Source organism: Homo sapiens, chromosome 12 (assembly GCF_000001405.40).
Source record: "Homo sapiens chromosome 12, GRCh38.p14 Primary Assembly".
NCBI lineage: Eukaryota > Metazoa > Chordata > Mammalia > Primates > Hominidae > Homo > Homo sapiens.
Window position 1 is genome coordinate 27020847 of NC_000012.12, and position 24795 is coordinate 27045641.

Consider the following 24795-nt stretch of genomic DNA (forward strand, 5'->3'; position numbering starts at 1 on the left):
AGAGGCTGAAGAACCAGGAAAACCAAGGGGTCAGGGACCTTGGCTGAAACAGATTATTTCACTCAGAAAATTATCAGGAGGTGAGGCTGGGTCTGTTTGCTGGAGCCAGATTATAGTAAATCTTGAAAACCAGGCAGAGATAGTTGGACATCAACCTGAGGTCTCTGTGGAGGCACAGAAGACCTATTAGGAAGATAATGGCAGGACAAAAACTGTGTCACAATATGAATGTCTTGAAGTGGCTTCTCTACTTCAACTGCCCAAGTTCCCTTCAATCAGGCTGCAAAACTTAGTATTCTTATGGAGTGGACTAAACTATATCCAATCAGTCACCAATCCATATTAATTTTTTTTCTCAAAAATATATTTTAGTCTTTCTTTCCCCGCTTATCAGGGTCAACACCCTATTCTAGGCCCAGCTCATCTTAATCTTGGACAACTGCAAAACCTTCCTTAGTGAGTCCTTGGCTTATTCATCTTTGCAAATTGAGCACTGGATATACTTCCTGGCATGTGGCAGCCATTCCGTAAGGTACACTCTCAAGTGAGGGTGGGAGGAGAAGGTTGTAGAATCCCCCCAAGTTACAGTGAAAACAAATTACAGAGTGATTTCTCATTAGTCCCATTATGGGGAACATGCCTCATCCACGTTCTTAATGAGGCTCCAGTAAGTCTGTAGACTGTTTGGGGCTGAGGGTGGGGCATTGGTGTGAAGCAGAAGTGGTGCTTCACAGTAAGTGTTGGGATAAATCCAACAAGCTGAGTTCCCCAGGGACTGTGTCTTCCACCTTCCCCGCAGCCACAGGAAGGTAATCACGGATAATCAGCCTGAGAAAGAGGATATGAGAGTTTTTTGAAGTCTACAAACCTGTTATTTGCCGATTCCAAACTCATTTCTTACCAGACTATCCTCAGGCTAAATTTCCTTAAATACCAAGTTTCGATTATCACTTTTCACACTTAAACTCTCAATAAGTCCCAACTCTAAATCTAAATTGTGCAGCTAATTTTTCTTGGCCGAGCACGGTGGCTCACGCCTGTAATCCCAGCACTTTGAGAGGCCGAGGCGGGCGGAGCACGAGGTCGGGAGATCGAGACCATCCTGGCTAACATGGTGAAACCCCGTCTCTACTAAAAGTACAAAAAAAAAAAAAAAATGCCGGGCGTGGTGCGGACGCCTGTAGTCCCAGCTACTCCGGAGGCTGAGGCAGGAGAATGGCGTGAACCCGGGAGGCGGAGCTGGCAGTGAGCCGAGATCGCACCACTGCACTCCAGCCTGGGCGACAGAACGAGACTCCGTCTCAAATAAATAAATAAATAAATAAATAAATAAATAAAAATAAATATATTTACTCTTCAATTTGGTCAATAAATAAACACGAGAGGGTACGAGAAATTACTTAAAAAAAAAAAATCCCCGCAGAATCCAACAATCTCTGAAGCCTTTAACACCTAACAACCCCAAGGGGAGTATTTCGGCTCTTGGACTGTATTTCAAAGCGATTGGACCCCAGACCATTCCCCCAGTTACTCAAAAGATCCAGCCTCTCCTCAGGTGTAGCCCGCTCTAGAAAGGCCGCCTCGGGAGTACCACCCACTCCTGACGGGGCGGGGAGTTCTCTCCGACCCCACCCGTTCCAAGGACGCAGCCCTGTGATTGGCCATGACGCGTGCCAGAGCTGCCCAGTCGCGGAAGAGCAGCTGTTTTGGCGTCTGTTTGCTGCGGTAGGAACATGGCGGATCGGCTCACGCAGCTTCAGGACGCTGTGAATTCGGTGAGGAATTTCATTCGATTAGCCTCTGTCTTTCTCTTTCTTGAGGTAAAGCAAGGGAGGAAAGGGGCCCAAGAGGCAAAACTTGAAAGTGGGGAGCGGACTGAGAGACAGGGCTTCGGCATAAAGCGCTCTCTCGGGAGGCGCCACCGCGAACTCGGAGGTTTGAGGCCGGCTGCCGGGCGGTGCTTGAAGGTGCGGGAGGGAGCAGACTCTTTCGCTTGAGGAGACCGGGAAGATCGTTCTTGTCCGGGTGAGGCCGCCAGGACTTGTGGGCTGCGCGGTCCTGTCGTGTTCCCTGAGGACAGTTTTATTTTCTTGTCAGTGGTGCTTACGGGTTCTCTTTCTTTTGGGGGTTGGGAGGAGAAGCAGGAGCTTTTTTCTTTCCTCATCAATTTTAATCCACCAAGGGAGATCTCATGCTCTGGATGACTGGGTTTTTGTAATGAAATGTCAGCCGAGAGTATTCCTTCACCAGCGCTTTCAGGTTGGTGCGGGAGCGATGCTGAGGTGAGGTGAGAGATTTTCTTTCATCTTAGCTCGTTCCTTTGGGCCCAGAGTATCCTTCCATCTCTTGCCTCTTGGCCATCCCTCAGAATACATCAGTTTGGGGACATCTTTATGATAGGAAATCTTCTAATCCTCGTATGTCTTTCCGCTTATTTGAGTCTTTTTTCTTTTCTTTTTTTTTTTTTTTTTACTTTGGAGACAGTGCCTTTCGCCCAGGCTGGAGTGCAGTGGCGCGATCTCTGCTCACTGCATCCTCCGCCTCCCGGGTTCAAGCGATTCTCCTGTCTGAGCCAAAGTAGCTGGGATTACAGGCGCCCTCCACCACGCCCGGCTAATGTTTGTATTTTTAGTAGAGACGGGGTTTCACCATGTTGTCCAGGCTGGTCTCAAACTCCCGGCCTCAAGCGATCCTCCCGCCTCGGCCTCCCATAGTGCTGGGATTACAGGTGTGAGCCACCGTGCCCGGCCTACAAGTCCTTTTTAATGTCTCCCCCAAATTCTACTCTCTATTAAAGGCCAAGTCTAGTAAGTAGCTCCCCAGCTTTGTTCCTTCTGGTTATTTTTCCTCCACACTATGCCTGAGTGGAAAGTAGAAGCAAAGCCAGAGGATGCGCAGTCATGGGCCCCTAATGAAGGGGTCATGTTCTGAGAAATGCATGGTTTTGGCGATAACTTTTTTTTTTGTTTTAATAAGTAGAAGTACAATGTAAAATAACGATAAAACAGTAATACATAAACCAGTAACAAAGTCATTTAGTATCATTATCAAGTGTCATGGACTGCACATAATTGTATGTGCTATGCTTTCATACACTGGCAGTGTGGTAGGTTGATTTACAGCAGCATCACCACAAGCACTAAGGAACGCATTGCGCTACAGCGTTAGTACTGCTACGATGTCACTAGGCAATAAGAATTTTTCAGCTTTATTATAACCATAGGGGACTGACATAATATGTGCATCCCGTTGACCAAGACGTCAGTGGGTATTCCCATGCGGCAATGGGTGTACTTATTACCATTACGAGTTAGATTGTTTTCTGCTAAATAGTTTTCCATTGATAGTTATGTTTCTCATTGTCTGATTGTGATTTAATGTCCTAGATAAGGGGCTAGAGAGAAAACATGCTGATAGGAAAACCTAAGTACCTGGTTTCCTTGCCAGTTTTTTTTTTCCTCACTGTAAGCTAATAACTTGGCATTTTTCTTAATACATCAGAATTTGTACACTTGAAGAGTGTGAATCTACTTGTGATAAAACTGATCTACCCTGGGTGAATAACACTAGTTTTTAAGCTGAGAGGACCAGCCTCTAAGTGTTGAATTCACCAAGATAAATTCTACCCTGCAGGGACTTGCCTGGGCTGCCAGCCAGCCTTCCTCAGGGAACTACTCCTTTGAGGTTTTACGAAATCAAATTGTAATGATGCTGCTGGATAGAAATCTTATTTTAGGGAAAATTTTGCATATTCATACATGTCTTGTAACTAGAAGGATAATAAGGACAGAGTGAATATGGCCTTAACTCCAGGTTAGGCATAATGATAATTGGATTTTGGAGAAAAGCCTTTAGGATAACTAGTATGAGTGCCTACTGTGTGTAAGCACCATCATGTTTACAAAGAGATACTCCTAAAGGAGGTTAAAAAATGTCAAATACTCAGGAGACATTTAAGTGATGGAAAAACAGTATGTGGTTAGGGAGTTATAATGAATTGAGTATTTTCAGCTTCAGGTTCTGATGTAAATTGGAATATGGAGTGATGTGAACCAAAATAGGGGGAATCTTCTTAGCATTTATCCTAATCAGAATTATTTGTATAACTTTTAACATTTGTTCTACCCTCTGAAAACCGTGAGTGCAGAAGCTATGTCGCATTCACTATGTCTCTGTAGTGTTTATATGCAGTACTTTAGTTATTTTCCATAAATTTTTGTTGACTAAATGGATCTTAAAAGCTTTTGAAGGATGGAAAAGATAGACACTGTGTTGAATATTTTTTTGTGTGTGTTTCCTCTATTACAACAATGCTATAATAGGAGAATGTATCCAATTTAAAAATGAAAAATGCTGCTTGGATTAATAGAGCTAGGATCAGGATCTAGGTTTGTATAGCATCTGAGCACTTATTGCTCCATTACAATTAGCAAAACCTGGGCAAAGCCATTTAGTCATAAGTGACTTTATGACTAGTTAGATAAATATGAAGGAGTAGTGGAAAACGAGTCAGTAGAGTTGACTTAGATTATTGAAAGCTTCAAAACAGCCTGAGTTGGAGATTTATCTTGAAGACAGTGGTGGAGTAAGCTTAAATGTTTTGATCAGGTTAAAATAAATAACCTGGTGAACTGGAAAACAACAAGAAGACTATTGTAATAATTCTGGTGTGAGATAATTGGTTGAACTAAGCAACAGTGATAGAAGGAAAAGAGAAAGATTTGTAGTATTAGCAGAATATGAAGATCAAAGGAAAGTAAGAATCTGAAGTTAGATTGGTTGACTAGGAGACTTTCAATACAAATTAAATATTAAAAAGAGGAAACAGTTGCCTTTGAGTTCTGTCATTGAAACAATGGCAGAGAAACCCAGTGGAAATACTTATTAGAAATAGGAGGTTTGAGAGGTCAAGACTAGGTGAGAGAAATTGGTAGGGAAGATAGGTGTATTTAATTTGGAGATGGTAAGGAATTGCTATTCCCAATCTTTAAAAGTACTTAAGGAATACTTTTAGAGTACAAGAGTTTACAAATTGAGTCTTGAACAAATACATTTCTGCTTACTTAAGGTGCTTTTCTGAGCAGCCTCTTCCTCACTATTTCTTTACACTTGTAACTACTCCAGTCTCAGAAAAGGAATCATATACTTTGTGCATGAGAAATAAATTTTTATTAAACATGGTGCCATAGATATTTACAAGTCAAATTTGCTCTTTTCCATCACTATCCCCAAAAAGTCTTTACTTGTGGCTTACAATAAGTATTGGCCAATATTCTCTTATCATTTTACTATCACAAGAAAAGAAAGATTATTTTGTATTTCAACTGTTTCAACTAGATTTATATCAAATTTAACTTTACCTAGATTGATACCAAACTTAGTTTCTTTGCAGAATTAAAACGTTTAATCAACATTAATAATAACTGGCTTATTTTATCAACAATCACTCCTTTCTGTTTTATTCCCTTGCTCAGAGATTATCATTACAGAAACTTATTGTTGTTGCCATTACCAATAAAGTCCTTAAAACTGATAAGTCCTTTCTAACCTTGATATGTTTTCTTTGGCCTAAGCTTGCAGATCAGTTTTGTAATGCCATTGGAGTATTGCAGCAATGTGGTCCTCCTGCCTCTTTCAATAATATTCAGACAGCAATTAACAAAGACCAGCCAGCTAACCCTACAGAAGGTAAACAGGTTTTCTTAGCTTCTCTTAGTTTGACTCTCACATTTTTTGTAATCCTTTAAAATTAGATTTCTTGAGAAATTCAGCTTATTTTATTTCTAAAATTATTGTTGTTTGAGAATATTACAAGTTTTGTTTGTTGTAAAAAATTTACAGTCAATTCACCTAACATCTCATAATTCTGGTTCATGTCAGATAATAGATTGTTACTCCTTTAGAGGAGAATTTGTATTAATTTAGCTGAGTGAGGGACCTTAACAAGGAAGGCATCCCATTTATAAATTTCTTTATTCAGGTGACCACTATATTGTCATAATAAATGAAATTACATACATTATGCTTAATTCCCAATTTGAGCTAAATGTGTAACAGGATTGGTGTATATTTTAATCATTAGAATCTTCTTTTTTTTTTTGAGACGGAGTCTCGCTCTGTCACCTAGGCTGGAGTGCAGTGATGCAATCTTGGCTCACTGCAACTTTCGCCTCCCGGGTTCAAGGAATTCTCCTGCCTCAGCCTCCTGAGTAGCTGGGATTACAGGCTCATGCCACCACGTCTGGCTAATTTTTGTATTTTTAGTAGAGATGGGGTTTCACCATGTTGGTCAGGCTGGTCTCAAACTCCTGACCTCGTGATCCGCCTGCCTTGGCCTCCCAAAGTGCTGGGATTACAGGCGTGAGCCACCACGCCTGGCCGAATCATTAGAATCTTAGGGCAGAAAAAGCTATATGAAGTTTCTGGTTTCATTAACTTAAAATTTGTTTCTGAAAACTTGAGGTTTTCTAATATCCTAATCTAGCAGTATCTTTCTCTAGAGTATGCCCAGCTTTTTGCAGCACTGATTGCACGAACAGCAAAAGACATTGATGTTTTGATAGATTCCTTACCCAGTGAAGAATCTACAGCTGCTTTACAGGTAAGCCTCTATTCCTTTGAGAATTTTACCAGTAATAGAGAATTTTGAATTAAAGGAGGTAGATTTAGTACCTTTTGTCTGTGTCCATTTGTGCTGCTATAACAACATACCTGAGACAGTAATTTATAAAGAACAGAAATTTATTTTCTCACAGTTCTGGAGTCTGGGAAGTCCAAGATCAAGGCATTTATTACTCACTGTGCATGAGTAATGAATTTTTATTAAACATGGTGCCATGTTTAGGGCCATGTTGAGGGCCTTCTTCCTGTTTCCTCACATGGCTGAAGGCAGAAGGGCAAAAGAGCAAGAGCTCCCTCTTCAACCTCAAGCCATATTTTAAGGGTACTAATTCCATCTATGAGATCTCTGCCTTCATGACTTAATATCCTCTTAAAGGCCCCTTCCCTCTTAATACCATCACATTGGGGATTAGATTTTAATGTATGAATTTTGGAGGGGATGCATTCAAATCATAGCACCTTTTGTTATAATATTCAAATTTCCATTATAAGGAAACCTCTTATTTTCCTCAATTTTGTCTCTTTTCCTAGTGAAGAATGAGAGGAGGGTGGCATTCTACAATTGGAGTAGAATAATGGTGTCTAAACGTAATGTGTAAGGGAGTCACTTAAAGATATCTAGAGATCTCTAATTGAAAAGTCATTCTTTTTAATAATTCACATGGGGAAAATTCTTAAAAGTTGTCTGATTTTTAGAATTTCTTTACTGAAAAACATATCACAATGATTGCAAAGTCATCCAGATTTAAAAATAAGTACATCTGTGACAGCTTCTCTTTCTAAACTCTAAAGATTTTAAAATTTGTGTCTTATAAAGGCTGCTAGCTTGTATAAGCTAGAAGAAGAAAACCATGAAGCTGCTACATGTCTGGAGGATGTTGTTTATCGAGGAGACATGCTTCTGGAGAAGATACAAAGCGCACTTGCTGATATTGCACAGTCACAGCTGAAGACAAGAAGTGGTACCCATAGCCAGTCTCTTCCAGACTCATAGCATCAGTGGATACCATGTGGCTGAGAAAAGAACTGTTTGAGTGCCATTAAGAATTCTGCATCAGACTTAGATACAAGCCTTACCAACAATTACAGAAACATTAAACACTATGACACATTACCTTTTTAGCTATTTTTAATAGTCTTCTATTTTCACTCTTGATAAGCTTATAAAATCATGATTGAATCAGCTTTAAAGCATCATACCATCATTTTTTAACTGAGTGAAATTATTAAGGCATGTAATACATTAATGAACATAATATAAGGAAACATATGTAAAATTCTGTTATGACATAATTTATGTCTCCATTTTGTTGTATTGGCCAGTACTTTTACAAATCAAAACATCTCTCAAGCCAAAGGAGAAGACAGTAAGAACAGACATAAGGGACATTTTAGTTTGGGCTAGTGTCCTGCCTCTTAGAGGTGGCATTGTGTAAATCTGAGCTTTGAGCAAGAAAGTTTTGGAAATTGTGTTGCTTTTAAGAAATAGAGTTAGTGTGGCTGGATAAGAAAGTCACATTTATGCAAATGTTTCTTCTGCTAGAACCTCATACCTGTTCTAGTTCATCTCCACGTTTATTTTACCAAGAGATCCTCTGTCAAGAGAATTTCCTGGCTGTTGTGAAAGAATTTTTCTACATCCTGAACTATTTTTCCTATTTCTTTTCACCTTGCTTTTTTTCATCCTTAATTTGCTTGTCATCACAATGAAGTATGTTTTTTGAATCATCAATTCTTTCTCATTCTCCATTTATCTGAAGGTTCTTTTGCCCTTATTAACCTCTCAACTTTTATTGCTGTATTCTAGTCAGACCAGAACATACTTCCACTACATCAGTTACTTGGCATCATTTCACCTCAGTTTATTATTGCCAAATAATAATTTGTGTCAGCATTTTCAACTATGGTTATTCATCCAACCCTTGGATCTCTTTGAGTCTACTGATAATCTCCACTGGAAAGGTGGAATTGAAATGTGGTCCACATTTTAACTAGCTATTTCCTGGGGCTGTATTTTTCAGAATATGCTGAGCTACATTTGCTGCAATCTGTTGCTATTCAGAGTTTAAGTTTCAGGAGAAAACAGGAACAATAGAACACTCTGCCTGTTATTTTTGTTGTAATCAAGCTTTTCCACAGTTCTTGAAAAGTACTATGTTTCAAATTTCAGGAACACCAGCGTTAGCTGTAAAAGTTGCAGCAATTTATTGGCTAGTCATAGAAAATTTTTGAACTTTTAACTGTATTTTAATTGATGTTTATTAAAAACACTTTGCTATCAGATATTTGGCATAAATCTGTACTCTTCATTATAGTTTTGGGGGGAGAGAAGATTCAGTCAGAAAACTTATTCAAAGTACCTAAGTATTATAAAGGAGTCAAAAAGGTACAAAGAGAAAAGGTCAAGACATTTTTCAAATGAGGGAAAACTAACAGGATTTATCACTAGTAAACCTGCTCTAAAAGAATTCAAGGGAAGCTTTTTAAAAAGAAGGGAAGTTATAGCAGAAGGAAACTTAGAATGGCAGGAATAAAGAAGGCATAATGTATAGGGTAAATATAATAGACTTCTCTTGAGGTTTTAAAAATTACATTTGTTATTTGAAAGAAAAAAATTAACGTTGTTGTATGTGATTCTCTGTAGAGGATATACAGTTTTTTTTTGTTGTTCTTGTTTCTGTTTTTTTAAGGTGAAGTCTCTGTCACCCAAGCTGAAGTGCAGTTCTGTGATCATGGCTCACTGCAGCTTCACCCTGGGTTCAGGTGATCCTCCCACTTCAGCCTCTTCAGTAACTGGGACTACAGGCATGTACTACCACGTCCAGCTAATTTTTTTTTTCTTTTTTTTTTAGAGATGGGGTCTCACTCTGTTGCCCAGGCTAATGCCAAACTGCTAACCTCAAGATATTAATACTATACAGTAGACTATAAGAAATTAAGTATTTGTATCATCCCTAGAGCGACACAGATTTTTCCCTAAAAAACTACAGATTATTTTCAAAAGCATTAATAAATTAAGGTGGAATACTAAAAAAGATTCAGGTAACCCAGGAACGAGAAACAGAATAAAACAATAGTAAACCTAAATTTTATTTTATTTCATTAATACAGCAATAATTAAATGTCAATGATCTAAGCTGATTTAAATCTAAAAACTGGATAAGAAGCTGTGGCTTGTAATTAAAAATAGACCTTTATTCACTAGACCTACAGTTTGCTTTTTTCATATGTTAAGAAAAGTTTAATATCCTGCTTCTCTATTTCAGTTCTAGGGGCACCACTATCAGTTAACCCTAAAGATTTCTGTGGGTGAAACCATTTTGATTACCATCTTGCTCTGCTGCCAGTTATGGTAACCAAACTCTCTTTGTTTCTGGATGCTAAATCTGTCCACTTGTGCCTTAACTACATCCTAACTCCCGTCATCTTCATTGAATTTAAGGAGCCAATTTCTTTTTTTGAGATGGAGTTTCACTCTTGTCCAGGCTGGAGTGCAATGGCACGATCTTGGCTCACCGCAACCTCAGCTTCTCGGGCTTAAGTGATTCTCCTGCCTCAGCCTCCCGAATAGCTGGGATTACAGGCAGGCACCACCATGCCTGGCTAATTTTGTATTTTTAGTAGAGACGGGGTTTCTCCATGTTGGTCAGGCTGGTCTCGAACTCCCAACCTTAGGTGATCCACCCGCCTCAGCCTCCCAAAGTGCTGGGATTACAGGCATGAGCCACTGCACCCGGCCAGGAGCCAATTTCAATGGGAGTATCCTTTACTATCATTCCTGACCTGTGATATTGGCCATTAGAGCCTTTCAAGAATGGTACCTCCTGCCGATGATTTTTTTTAAAGCCTTAATGAAGAGAGTGTCCTCTGGATCCTTCCAGAGAAGATAGGATGTGAGTGAGTAAGTTATGTATAATAATTTCACCCCAAAATTTCTATGTCCTTGATACCATTCCCTGTATACCAAGGAAGGGTATTCTGGCATTTCACTTTGATTTAATATAAGTAAACCCTGTGTCTGGGCATTAGTTAACAAACCAAGTGACTACAAGTGATAAGTAACTTTTACCATAGACTGTCAATTACCTTGGCAATGGAAACATTATTGCTTTTTAATCCAGTCAGATCAGAGAACAAATTCCAGATTTCCATCCTTAAGATTCTGTGTCTCTGCTACCACTTCTGGTAGCAAAACATGTCAGTGTGAGGTAGAGTCAATGGAATGTAGCCATGAAAAAAAAAATGCTACTACAAACATTACAGGAATAAGGAATTTGATCGAAGAATTAGCATTTACACAAAATATGGGAGGAGTTAGGGAAGTGAAAGAATGAAAGGAGAAAGAGGATAAAGAAAACACTAACCACATCACCCTAAAGCCCTTATTGCTAAATGAGGTTATTGTAGTGCCAGTTAAGTCCAGGTCAGCCAAGGCGTGCGTACCCCTTGGCCCCACTTGGAAAGCTGTGTGGATATGACTGTTGGATTAGGGGGTTCTCAAAGCCAAAATGGATTTATCAGCAATGACCTTACTGCCTGGTACCCAGCTTTGAGAGGACCAAAAACGACGGATGTGTCTTGCATTCCCTGGTCCCTCTTTCTTCTTTTACCCATATCTAAGTTGTTTAAAGGAGAAAAATCCTTAGGTTGAAGCCATATTCTCTCTATTCTTGAAGGACCACAGACTCTACGCCCCTGTTGAAATTTTCTGGAAGCCTATGGGAAAGGAGGAATGAAAAGCTTCGTGATGTCTTTGAATACAGGTGCCTAAGTTACTATCGTAACTGGTCCAGTAAGGAGAAGGGGTATCTGAATTTCAACTTGGGGGCTGGGCAAGGTAACCAGTGAGGTGGGGAGATAAATAGAACTTGGTAGCTAAGACCCTTCAGGTTGGCTTGATGATGCATTGTGATCATGGCTTCTACTTCAGATGTGTTGCTGGAATAGATATCCTTATACTTGTAATTCCCCTATACACAAATGCCAGCAAGAATAGTCCCATTGAGGACATGCTAAATGTAGAGAGGTAGTAGTATGACATGGAAAACACTCCCCAACTTGTCTCCCTGTCTCCTGCTTATGTGGTACATGGCCACTGACTACAGTATTAACCTTTACTTGAGCCCTGTGCTTCTGGAAAACAGTGACAGTTAAGAAATCCCTCCTTCTTGTTACATTTCAGGAAATGGCTTATTGCAAAGAACCACTAGAACTGTGAGTAACACCTTCATTTACCTATGATAAAGCCAGACTCAGACCCTCCAAATCCCATTCTTTGCCTCAAAATAATTAGTTGAACTATTTGTACCCATAGACTAATCTGGACAAAATGCCCTTTAACTTGACCCAATTTTATGCTTCTCCCTTCCCCGTAAGCCACTGGACTTTGATCCACCTTCAGCCTGAGCCAGCACTGGACTGTGGAATAGTCCCTCCTTTTCCCCTCCTGAAAATTGACTAGCCACCAGGAAGGACATTCCCTGCTCAGCTGTCCCATTAACGTCACCTGCTCCTCTCCTCCACGTTAGTTTTTTTCTAGCCTGTTTATTCCTCCCTGTAAGAGAAAAAGAGAAAAGCCTATTTCTATCTGATCTTTGAGATGCTTGCAGATCTTACCTTTGAAGCATTCTCCTTATTGCAATAGTCTCCCTGACCCTATTGCAATAGTTCCTCTCTCCCTGTTTGTATTCACCCATTCAGGCTGCTATATATAGCAAAATACCATAAGCTGATAGCTTATAGACAATATAAATTTACTTCCCACAGTTCTGAAGCCCGGGAAGTCAAAGATCAAAGTGCTGGCAGGTCTGGTGTCTGGTGGGGGCACCTTCTCACTGTCCTCACATGGTAGAAGAAGCAAGGGAAACTCTTGGGCCTCTTTAGAGGTACTAATCCCACTCATGAGGCCTTTACCTTCTTGACCTAGTCATTTTTCAAAGGCTCGACCCATCATCATTCGTATGTTAGGATTTCAACGTACAAATTTGTGGGGTTGGGAGGGATACAAGCATTCAGAGCATAGCACTATTTTAATAATCATTTCAAATAGAGTCATTCTATACCTAGTCTGGATTTTTGTTTGTTTTACTTGACCTCATTCACTTGGGTAGGAAAAAAATCTCATGGACTCTCATTGATAGCCCCAGGGGTAAGGTTGGGGCAAAAAGAGCAGAGGCACTCATTTACTGTGAGGTAAGAAATCTGTTTCAGATCACCTTGTGTGCAATTCAGGATAAAATTAATAAAGATGAATAGTAAAAATCCAATACTAAGAGATAAAACTCAGGAGTCAAAAGAAGAAATCAGAAAGATTAGAGCATAATTCAGAATGTAATGAAAACAAACTATGCATAGAAACTTGTGGTATTCGGCCAAGACAGCATGTAGGAGAAAATGCAAGTATTACCTTTCTTGCTTGTATTAGGATAAAAAGTTGAAAATTAACAAGCTAAGTATCTAACTGAAAGAGAAAGAAAGAAATAATAAAGGTAACAGCAGAAATTAAGAAAACAACCATACTGTAGAAAAAACAAAGCCCAAAGTTGAGATTCAAAAAGAGTATGGCTGAAAAAAGAGTTTTGACTATTGATTGAATGTATTTAAAATTTAAATGGTCCTTTAAATCCTTCAAACTTAATCCTTTAAACTTCAAAAAAAGTTTAAATTTGGCTAACGCAGTGACTCACACCTGTAGTCCCAGCACTTTGGGAGGCAAAGGTGGGTGGATCACCTGAGGTCAGGTGTTCAAGACCAGCCTGGCCAACATGGAGAAACCCCGTCTCTACTAAAAATACAAAAAATTAGCCAGGCATGGTGGTGGGCGCCTGTAATCCAATCCCAGCTACTCGGGAGGCTAAGGCAGGAGAATCGGTACAGCCTGGGAGGCGGAGGTTGCAGTGAGCCGAGATCACGCCATTGCACTCCAGCCTGGGCAACAAGGGCAAAACTCCGTCTCAAAAAAAAAGTTTAATACATAATTTAATAAATTTAAATAGATAAACAAGGTCTCACTCTTGTCTTCCAGGCTGCAGTGCAGTGACACAATCACAGTTCATTGCAGTGTTGACCTCCTGGGCTCAAGCTATCCTCCCACCTCAGCCTCCCGAGTAGCTGGGATGGCAGGCTTATTCCACCAGCTAATTTTTGTATTTTTAGTAGAGATGGGGTTTTGCAGTGTTGCCCAGGCTTATCTCAAACTCCTGGGCTCAACCGATCTGCCCATTTCGACCTCCCAAAGTGCTGGGATTACATGCATGAGCCACCACACCCGATTTGACTCAATAGTCAAAACTCTTTTTTGGAAACGGAGTTTCGCGCTTGTCGCCCGGGCTGGAGTGCGGTGGCGTGATCTCGGCTCACTGCAACCTCCGTCTCCCGGGTCCAAGTGCTTCTTATGCCTCAGCCTCCTGAGTAGCTGGGATTACAGGCACCTGTCACCACGCCTGGCTAATTTTTGTATTTTTCGTAGAGACAGGGTTTTACCATGTTTACCAGGCTAGTCTTGAATTCCTGACCTTAGGTGCTCCGCCTGCCCCTGGCCTCCCTAAGTGCTGGGATTACAGGCGTGAGCAACTGCGCCCAGCTGTCAAAACTCTTAATTAGCCCGGTTTGGTAGTGCATGCCTGAAGTTCCAGCTACTCAGTTGGGAGGATCGCTTAAGCCTGGGAGGTACAGGCTGCGGTGAGCCATGATCATGACACCACACACCAGCCTGGTGACAGACTTGTTGACAGACCCTGTCTCAAACAAAATAAAAACAACAGGCAGTAATAAAACCTTCTAGCCACCAAGCCTAGAGAGTTTTATTAATGAGAATAGTGAGTTGTGAGTTTTGCTAAATATGCGGTTTCTTTGAATTCCAGTTTTATACAGAAAGTATAAAGCTCTTGTCAAAATTTTACAGTAACAGTACCAAAATTAAAAATAACTAAATCTCTTTTTTTTTTTTTGGATTAAGGTGATTTGTTATTTCTTTTTTTTTTAATTATACTTTAAGTTTTAGGGTACATGTGCACAATGTGCAGGTTAGTTACATATGTATACATGTGCCATGCTGGTGTGCTGCACCCGTTAACTCGTCATTTAGCATTAGGTATATCTCCTAATGCTATCCCTCCCCCCTCCCCCCACCCCACAACAGTCCCCAGAGTGTGATGTTCCCCTTCCTGTGTCCATGTGTTCTCACTGTTGAATTCCCATCTATGAGTGAGAACATGCGGTGTTTGGTTTTTTGTCCTTGCCATAGTTTGCTGAGAATGATGATTTCCAATTTCATCCATGTCCCTACAAAGGACATGAACTCATCATTGTTTATGGCTGCATAGTATTCCATGGTGTATATGTGCCACATTTTCTTAATCCAGTCTATCATTGTTGGACATTTGGGTTAGTTCCAAGTCTTTGCTATTGTGAATAGTGCCGCAATAGACATACGTGTGCATGTGTCTTTATAGCAGCATGATTTATAGTCCTTTGGGTGTATACCCAGTAGTGGGATGGCTGGGTCAAATGGTATTTGTAGTTCTAGATCCCTGAGGAATCACCACACTGACTTCCACAATGGTTAAACTAGTTTACAGTCCCACCAATAGTGTAAAACTATTCCTATTTCTCAACATCCTCTCCAGCACCTGTTGTTTCCTGACTTCTTAATGATTGCCATTCTAACTGGTGTGAGATGATATCCCATTGTGGTTTTGATTTGCATTTCTCTGATGGCCAGTGATGATGAGCATTTTTTCAGTGTCTTTTGGCTGCATAAATGTCTTCTTTTGAGAAGTGTCTGTTCATATCCTTTGCCCACTTTTTGATGGGGTTGTTTGGTTTTTTCTTGTAAATTTGTTGGAGTTCACTGTAGATTCTGGATATTAGCCCTTTGTCAGATGAGTAGGTTGCGAAAATTTTCTCCCATTCTGTAGGTTGCCTGTTCACCCTGATGGTAGTTTCTTTTGCTGTGCAGAAGCTCTTTAGTTTAATTAGATCCCATTTGTCAATTTTGGCTTTTATTGCCATTGCTTTTGGTGTTTCAGACATGAAGTCCTTGCCCATGCCTATGTCCTGAATGGTAATGTCTAGGTTTTCTTCTAGGGTTTTTATGGTTTTAGGTCTAACGTTTAAGTCTTTAATCCATCTTGAATTAATTTTTGTATAAGCTGTAAAGAAGGGATCCAGTTTCAGCTTTCTACATATGGCTAGCCAGTTTTCCCAGCACCGTTTATTAAATAGGGAATCCTTTCCCCATTGCTTGTTTTTCTCAGGTTTGTCAAAGATCAGATAGTTGTAGATATGTGGCGTTATTTCTGAGGCCTCTGTTCTGTTCCATTGATTTATATCTCTGTTTTGGTACCAGTACCATGCTGTTTTGGTTACTGTAGCCTTGTAGTATAGTTTGAAGTCAGGTAGTGTGATGCCTCCAGCTTTGTTCTTTTGGCTTAGGATTGACTTGGAGATGTGGGTTCCTTTTTGGTTCCATATGAACTTTAAAGTAGTTTTTTTCCAATTCTGTGAAGAAAGGCATTGGTAGCTTGATGGGGATGGCATTGAATCTATAAATTACCTTGGGCAGTATGGCCATTTTCACAATATTGATTCTTCCTACCGATGAGCATGGAATGTTCTTCCATTTGTTTGTATCCTCTTTTATTTCCTTGAGCAGTGGTTTGTAGTTCTTCTTGAAGAGGTCCTTCACGTCCCTTGTAAGTTGGATTCCTAAGTATTTTATTCTCTTTGAAGCAATTGTGAATGGGAGTTCACTCATGATTTGGCTCTCTGTTTGTCTGTTATCGGTGTATAAGAATGCTTGTGATTTTTGTACATTGATTTTGTATCCTGAGACTTTGCTGAAGTTGCTTATCAGCTTAAGGAGATTTTGGGCTGAGACAATGGGGTTTTCTATACATACAGTCATGTCGTCTGCAAACAGGGACAATTTGACTTCCTCTTTTCCTAATTGAATACCCTTTATTTCCTTATCCTGCCTAATTGCCCTGGCCAGAACTTCCAACACTATGTTGAATAGGAGTGGTGAGAGAGGGCATCCCTGTCTTGTGCCAGTTTTCAAAGGGAATGCTTCCAGTTTTTGCCCATTCAGTAAACATGGAAAAATAGCAAATTAGAGACAGTGGGTATTAACAATTGCATATATCACAATAAATGTATGTTTAATCTCAGGAATGCATGGCAGTTCTGTCTTTAGAAAATGTATTTTTTGTATTTTTATCAATTTAGAGATGCCCTTTTAAAAAAACATATTACAAATTGGAATATTCAAAGGGCAGCTGTTTTATTTTCTTCCTTGCTGAAACATAAAATAATGACGTGTTTTAAAATTTATAGAATCTTTGATTTGATCAAATATGGTAATGTAATTTGCCATTCTAACAGATCAAAATCAGAATCAGTATGATCATCTATCTTGATTTGCGAGAAGCATTTGATAATATTCAAAATCCATTTATGAAAAAACTCTTGGCAGAGGAGAAACAGCAAAGAATTTTTAAAATATAAAGGGTATGTACAAAACTGTAGTAACCATCTTACTGAAAGATCAAACTTGTTCCCTTTCAGCTTGGGAATAAGACAGAGCTTCCTATTAAGACCACCACATCTACTCATCTTTAAGCTGGTGATTCTCACCAACACATCTAAGCATGAAAGAAATAAAAATTATAAGATAAAAAGGAAAGAAAACTCTCAGTACTTAAAGATGATATAATTACATAGAAAATCAAGAAGATTCCATGGATAGGCTTCCCAAAAAACAATATGTAACATACCAGCAACAAATGGTAAGAAAAACACGTTGTTTTTTTTTTAAAGTACATTTTCAGTGACATTAAATAATAAGGATTCAGGAATACAACGAATATAACAAAAATGTAAGATATCTAGGGATGCGTATAACAAAAAAATTATAAAGCTTCATTTAAAACATTTTTAAACAAAATAAGTAGAAAGTAATACCATCTTTATGGAACAGAGTCAGTATTATAAATGTGTCAGTTTTCTTCAACTGGTCCATAGACAACACAATTTTAACTAAGATTCCAATTGGGATTTCTGTGGAACTTGATGAGTTAGGGCCAAAAGTAATCAAGATATTCATGAGGAAGGATAACAGAATGGCAAAACTTGCTTTAATAATTTGTGCAGGGATAGACAAATACTGTACACCAGTCTCTCAATAGGGAGATCAAAACCAAATTCACACAGACATGAAAAGTTGATTTATGACAGATGATGTTGCAGTCCCTGGGGAAAGAATGGAAATGGTGCTAGAATAATTGGTTTCTATATGTATTTCTATATATTTATATGCCATTACATTAAAGTCAATGCCTATGGAGTTTGGGAGGAGTGATCAAAATGTTCTGGAATTAGATGTGATGTTTGCACAACTCTGTGAATGTACTAAGAACCACTGAATTGTATATTTTTAAAGCATGGTATGTGAATAATACCTCAATAAAGCTGTTATAAAAAATATTTTAAAAATCCCAGCACTTTGGGAGGCTGAGGCGGGCGGATCATGAGGTCAGGAGTTCAAGACCAGCCTGACCAACATGTTGAAACCCCATCTCTATTAAAAGTACAAAAATTAGCCAGACGTGGTGGCACGTGCCTGTAATCTAAGCTACTCAGGTGGCTGAGGCAGGAAAATCGCTTGATCCCTGGAGGCGGAGGCTGCCGTGAGCCGAGATGATGCGCCTGGCACTCCATCCAGCCTGGGCAACAGAGCGAGATTCCATCTCAAAAAAAAAAAAAAAGTAAAAAATCAATGACGGCCAGGCGCAGTGGCTCACACCTGTAATCCCAGCACTTTGGGAAGCCGAGGTGGCAGATCACCTGAGGTCAGGAGTTCGAGACCAGCCTGACCAACATGGAGAAACCCCGTCTCTACTAAAAGTACAAAATTAGCCGGGTGTGGTGGTGCATGCCTGTAATCCCAGCTACTGGCGAGGCTGAAGCAGGATAATCACTTGAACCCGGGAGGCGGCGGTTGTGGTGAGCCAAGAACGCGCCATTGCCCTCCAGCCTGGGCAACAAGAGCGAAATTCCATCTCAAAAAAAAAAAAAAAAAAATCAATGCCAGACAGACTGAAAACTTAACATGCAAAGGGCAAGTATTGAAGACCAAACAGATAGCAATATTTCACCACAAGAGGGCAGTTTGACCCTGAACTTTGGTGTGTGTTTGTTTTGAGATGGAGTCTTGCTCTGTTGCCCAGGCTGGAGTGCAGTGGCGTGATCTTGGCTCACTGCAACCCTCCACCTCCCGGATTCAAGTGATTACCCTGCCTCAGCCTCCCGAGTAGCTGGGACTACAGGCACGTGCCACCATGAACGACTAATTTTTTGTGTTTTTAGTAGAGACGGGGTTTCACCGTGTTAGCCAGGATGGCCTTGATCTCCTGACCTTGTGATCTGCCCACCTCAGCTTCCCAAAGTGCTGGGATTACAGGCGTGAACTTTGATTTTATACAGGAAGTGGTTGGAGGAAATGGTTGGAAAGGATGTTTCGTGACTCAAAAGACTACTGGGGATTAACTAGCTTGATAGCAGTGGCCACAAGTTAAGATTACCCTGGAATCCAGTCAAAGCTGGTGTTATGATTCTAGTTTGAGCTAGTATCTTCCTGGAGCCAGTAACATGAATATGATGACCAAATGTTTATTTCGTCTGAAAACAAAAGATTATGGACACAACTTCGTGGTATGTGTCCATTTAGGCCCACCGTAAAGAAGTGAAGCACTGGCATCAACCACAAAGAAAGTTATGTGAGCACTTTCTCTGGATGATAAATTATCTTCTATGTGCATGTGCATGTGTTGTGTATGTTGACAGGTCACACATCAGAAACTGCCACTTCATAGCCGAAGGATAGTCCTATATGGAAACGCAATATGAAAGTGTGATTAATAATATAGGCTTTTGTGCCTCCTGGCCCCGGCATTGCCACTGAATTGTGTGACTTTGGGCAAGTTACCTATGTTTCAGTGCAACTGTAAAATGAGGATAATATTAGTAATTACCTCATGGTATTTTTTTTCTTCTTTTTTTTAATTATACTTTAAGTTCTAGGGTACATGTGCACAACGTGCAGGTTTGTTACATATGTATACATATGCCATGTTGGTGTTCTGCACCCATTAACTCGTCATTTACATTAGGTATATCTCTTAATGCTATCCCTCCCCCATCCCCCCACCCCACGACAGGCCCCAGTGTGTGATGTTTCCCTTCCTGTGTCCAAGTGTTCTCCTTGTTCAATTCCCACCTATGAGTGAGAACATGCAGTGTTTGGTTTTCTGTCCTTGCGATAATTTGCTCAGAATGTTGGTTTCCAGCTTCATCCATGTCCCTACAAAGGACATGAACTCATCCTTTTTTATGGCTGCATAGTATTCCATGGTGTATATGTGCCACATTTTCTTAATCCAGTCTATCACTGATGGACATTTGGGTTGGTTCCAAGTCTTTGCTATTGTGAATAGTGCCGCAATAAACATACGTGTGCATGTGTCTTTATAGCAGCATGATTTATAATCCTTTGGGTATATACCCAGTAATGGAATGGCTGGGTCAAATGGTATTTCTAGTTCTAGATCCCTGAGGAATCACCACACTGTCTTCCACAATGGTTGAACTAGTTTACAGTCCCACCAACAGTGTAAAAGTATTCCTGTTTCTCCACTTCCTCTCCAGCACCTGTTGTTTCCTGACTTTTTAATGATTGCCATTCTAACGGGTGTGAGATAAACTTCTCCGAGCTAAAAGAGGAAGTTCGAACCCATCAGAAAGAAGCTAAAAACCTTGAAAAAAGATTAGATGAATGGCTAACTGGAATAACCAGTGTAGAGAAGTCCTTAAATGATCTGATGGAGCTGAAAATGATGGCACGAGAACTACGTGACAAATGCACAAGCTTCAGTAGCCGATTTGATCAACTGGAAGAAAGGGTATCAGTGATTGAAGATCAAACGAATGAAATGAAGTGAGAAGAGAAGTTTAGAGAAAAAAGAGTAAAAAGAAATGAATAAAGCCTCCAAGAAATATGGGAGTATGTGAAAAGACCAAATCTATGTCTGATTAGTGTACCTGAAAGTGATGGGAGGAATGGAACCAAGTTGGAAAACACTCTGCAGGATATTATCCAAGAGAATTTCCCCAACCTAGCAAGGCAGGCCAACATTCAAATTCAGGAAATACAGAGAACACCACAAAAATACTCCTCAAGAAGAGCAACTCCAAGACACATAATTGTGAGATTCACCAAAGTTGAAATGAAGGAAAAAATGTTAAGGGCAGCCAGAGAGAAAGGTCGGGTTACCCACAAAGGGAAGCCCGTCAAACTAACAGCAGATCTCTCGGCAGAAACTCTACAAGCCAGAAGAGAGTGGGGGCCAATATTCAACATTCTTAAACAAAAGAATTTTCAACCCAGAATTTTACATCCAGCCAAACTAAGCTTCATAAGTGAAGGAAAAATAAAATCCTTTACTGACAAGCAAATCTGAGAGACTTTGTCACCACCAGGCCTGCCCTACAAGAGCTCCTGAAGGAAGCACTAAACATAGAAAGGAACAACCAGTACCAGCCACTGCAAAAACATGCCAAAATGTAAAGACCATCAATGCTAGAAAGAAACTGCATTAACTAACGAGCAAAGTAACCAGCTAACATCATAATGACAGGATCAAATTCCCACATAACAGTATTAACCTTAAATGTAAATGGGCTAAATGCTCCAATTAAAAGACACAGACTGGCAAATTGGATAAAGAGTCAAGACCCATCAGTGTGCTGTATTCAGGAGACCCATCTCATGTGCAGAGGCACACATAGGCTCAAAATAAAGGGAGGGAGGAAGATCTACCAAGCAAATGGAAAACAAAAAAAGGTAGGGGTTGCAATCCTATCTCTGATAAAACAGAATATAAACCAACAAAGATGAAAAGAGACAAGGCCATTATATAATGGTAAATGGATCAATTCAACAAGAAGAGCTAACTATCCTAAATATATATGCACCCAATACAGGAGCACCCAGATTCATAAAGCAAGTCCTTGGAGACTTACAAAGAGACTTAGACTCCCACACAATAATAATGGGAGACTTTAACACCCCACTGTCAACATTAGACAGATCAAGGAGACAGAAGGTTAACAAGGATATCCAGGACTTCACCTCTGCACCAAGGGGACCTAATAGACATCTACAGAACTCTCCACCACAAATCAACAGAATATACATTCTTCTCAGCACCACATTGCACTTATTCCAAAATTGAGCACATAGTTGGAAGTAAAGCACTCCTCAGCAAATGCAGAAGAACAGAAATAACAAACTGTCTCTCAGACCACAGTGCAATCAAATTAGAACTCAGGATTAAGAAACTCACTCAAAACCACTCAACTACATGGAAACTGAACAACCTGCTCCTGAATGACTACTGGGTACATAACGAAATGAAGGCAGAAATAAAGGTGTTTTTTGAAACCAATGAGAACAAAGACACAACGTACCAGAATCTCTGGGACACATTTCAAGCAGTGTGTAGAGGGAAATTTATAGCACTAAATGCCCACAAGAGAAAGCAGGAAAGATCTAAAATTGACACCCTAACATCACAATTAAAAGAACTAGAGAAGCAAGAGCAAACACATTCAAAAGCTAGCAGAAGGCAAGAAATAACTAAGATCAGAGCAGAACTGAAGGAAATAGAAACACAAAAAACCCTTCAAAAAATCAATGAATCCAGGAGCTGGTTTTTTGAAAAGATCAACAAAATTGATAGACCACTAGCAAGTCTAATAAAGAAGAAAAGAGAGAAGAATCAAACAGATGCAATAAAAAATGATAAAGGGGATATCACCACCGATCCCACAGAAATACAAACTACCATCAGAGAATACTGTAAATACCTCTGTGCAAATAAACTAGAAAATCTAGAAGAAATGGATAAATTCCTGCACACATACACCCTCCCAAGACTAAATCAGGAAGAAGTTGAATCCCTGAATAGACCAATAACAGGCTCTGAAATTGAGGCAATAATTAATAGCCTACCAATCAAAAAAAGACCTCATGGTATTTTTATGGAATGTAAATCAGTTTATAGATGAGCAGGAGTCTAGTATCATCCTTTAAGACATATCTGGTTTTTATAGGGTCAGACCGGTGAATTAAGTAGGCACTTGATGGGGATCACAGTGCCTGCAACTTTTGGGTCTTTAAGGATGACTTTAACGTCTACCATAGTCCCAGGCAATATTGTTTTTAATTTACAATATAATTTTTTTACATTTTTACAATTATTTATAATATTTGTCTTTTATGTACAATATTGTCAATGCCGTATTCTTTTAAAATTTACTATATTGGCTGAGACAGGATGAGAGGGACAGTTTCAGAGTCTCCACTTGGCTTTCCCCACTTCCGTAGCTCTTACACCATTGGTTAAGAAACCAGTGTGGGGGTTGTGCTAACTACAAAGTCAGTGACCAGGGAAATAATCACTGATGGGTCATGAAACCAGTGAACCTACTGTGAGTGGGATCTTTGCAAGGACCCCATGTATCATCTGGCAACCATAACCCTTTTCCCCAACAAGGTGGCCATGATAATGCCCCTTTGAATTAATTCTGCATTAATTCTTAGGTATTAATGTCAAAACAGACTCTGCCACCAACAAACTCCTCAAAATGCCTTGGCTTGTCTCTTTCCCTTGTATACAGTAACCTGAGTAAATGGCCACAGGTCTCTTTGGGATAGGTATGAGAGAATCATTGTAAACACTTGCATTATAGGGTTTTTCTCACGCAAGATCCTCATTGTTGTTCAGTCATTGGGTTCTGAATCTGAAAAAGGTCTCAAGTTCTGAAACAGGGAAGACATCATGACTTTTTGTTGGGAAGTGCTCTCAGGATTTTAGTCATCTATCTTTGTTGTGTATCATATGGCATGTACTCTTTGTGTCTGGCTTCTTTCATTAAGTACAATGATTTTGAGATTTACACAGATTGTTAGTGCATCGATCTTTTTATTTTTGAATAGCATCCCATTTAATTGATTCCATTGATTGCAATGCTGCCTGTCTCTCTTGCCCTTAGGGACTCATGTTCTCTTAATCTTCATAGCTCTCCGAGGGTCGGAAACTCCATTACTTGCTACTCAGACTTTGCTGTTATTACAGTAATTAAGCCTATTTTGGTTCTGATGGTTTAGATTTGCCACCAGGCACCTTTTGTTTGGGGATCCTGTTATTCCCATTGCCATCATGTAGCGTAGTTTGGTACCAACATCAACCATCAGACTTAGCCACTGGTGTCTAGAACCAGCTCTCACAAGATGGATTTATTCTCATCAACTCTCACAAGATTGTTACATTTTTTGAAGTTTTATGAACCAGTTGTTACCCAAGATGTTGAATGTAATATGACAGGAGAATGATCCATCCTTATGTCGATATACTCTCCCTTATCCAACATTATTCTCCTTGACTGCATTTTCATGTTCCAGTCTCATGTGTATTTTCTCAGCTCTTGCCAGTACATCTTAACTAGGACCTGCAGCGCCTTTTCCTCCATAACAGACCCAGCACCCCCAAGCTGTGTTATATCATGATTGATCCTAATTTTTTATTGGGTAGCCAGAATGTGAGGTGGGGGTTGCATTACTCTGTTCTCACATTGCTATAAAGAAATACCTGCGATTAGGTAATTGATAAAAGAGGTTTAATTGGCTCACGTTTCTGCAGGCTGTACAGGAAGCACAGTGCTAACAAGTGCTTGGCTTCTGGGGAGGCCTCAGGAAACTTACAACCATGGCAGAAGGTGAAGGGGGAGCAGGCATATCACATGGCCAGAGCAGGAGCAAGAAAATGAGGGGGAGATGCTTTTAAATGACCAGATCTTACAAGAGCTCACTCACTGTTGTGATGACAGTACCAAGACGATGGTGCTAAGCCATTCATGAGAAATCTGCCACCATGATCCAATCACCTCTGACCATGGCCTACCTCCAACATTGGGGATTTTTTATATGAGATTTGGGTGGGGACACACATCCAAAGTATATCAGGTGTGTATCCTGGGCAGAGGTGGGTGGGTGGGGGGTGGCATTTATCTTGCAAAGTAGAGGACTTGGCATCATCTTCCAGGAAATGGGTAGAG

General features: G+C 40.0%; 1 protein-coding gene across 8 annotated transcripts, besides 1 other annotated feature; it reads left to right on the plus strand.

The window, feature by feature from the left end:
• MED21 (mediator complex subunit 21) lies at positions 1712-18105 on the plus strand. Of its 8 annotated transcripts, XM_047429904.1 has the most exons (8): positions 1712-1775; positions 5574-5688; positions 6501-6601; positions 7439-9426; positions 9888-9973; positions 11298-11384; positions 11804-11835; positions 17188-18105. In XM_047429904.1, exons 1-4 carry the CDS (start codon positions 1734-1736, stop codon positions 7613-7615), a joined length of 435 nt encoding a protein of 144 aa, XP_047285860.1. In that variant the 5' UTR covers positions 1712-1733; the 3' UTR covers positions 7616-9426; positions 9888-9973; positions 11298-11384; positions 11804-11835; positions 17188-18105. The 8 variants fall into 8 exon arrangements, 6 of the variants coding, with proteins under 6 accessions (XP_047285860.1, XP_047285862.1, XP_047285861.1 ...); XM_047429906.1 differs by lacking the exon at positions 11804-11835; XM_047429905.1 differs by having other exon boundaries at positions 7439-11384.
• Positions 1744-2033: an enhancer, noted in NCBI's record as "active region_6131". NCBI's record gives its function as "activates an Ori minimal core promoter by ATAC-STARR-seq in GM12878 lymphoblastoid cells {active_cell/tissue: GM12878}" and the evidence as "EXISTENCE:reporter gene assay evidence [ECO:0000049][PMID:35858748]".
• Positions 18106-24795: the final 6690 nt, after the last annotated feature.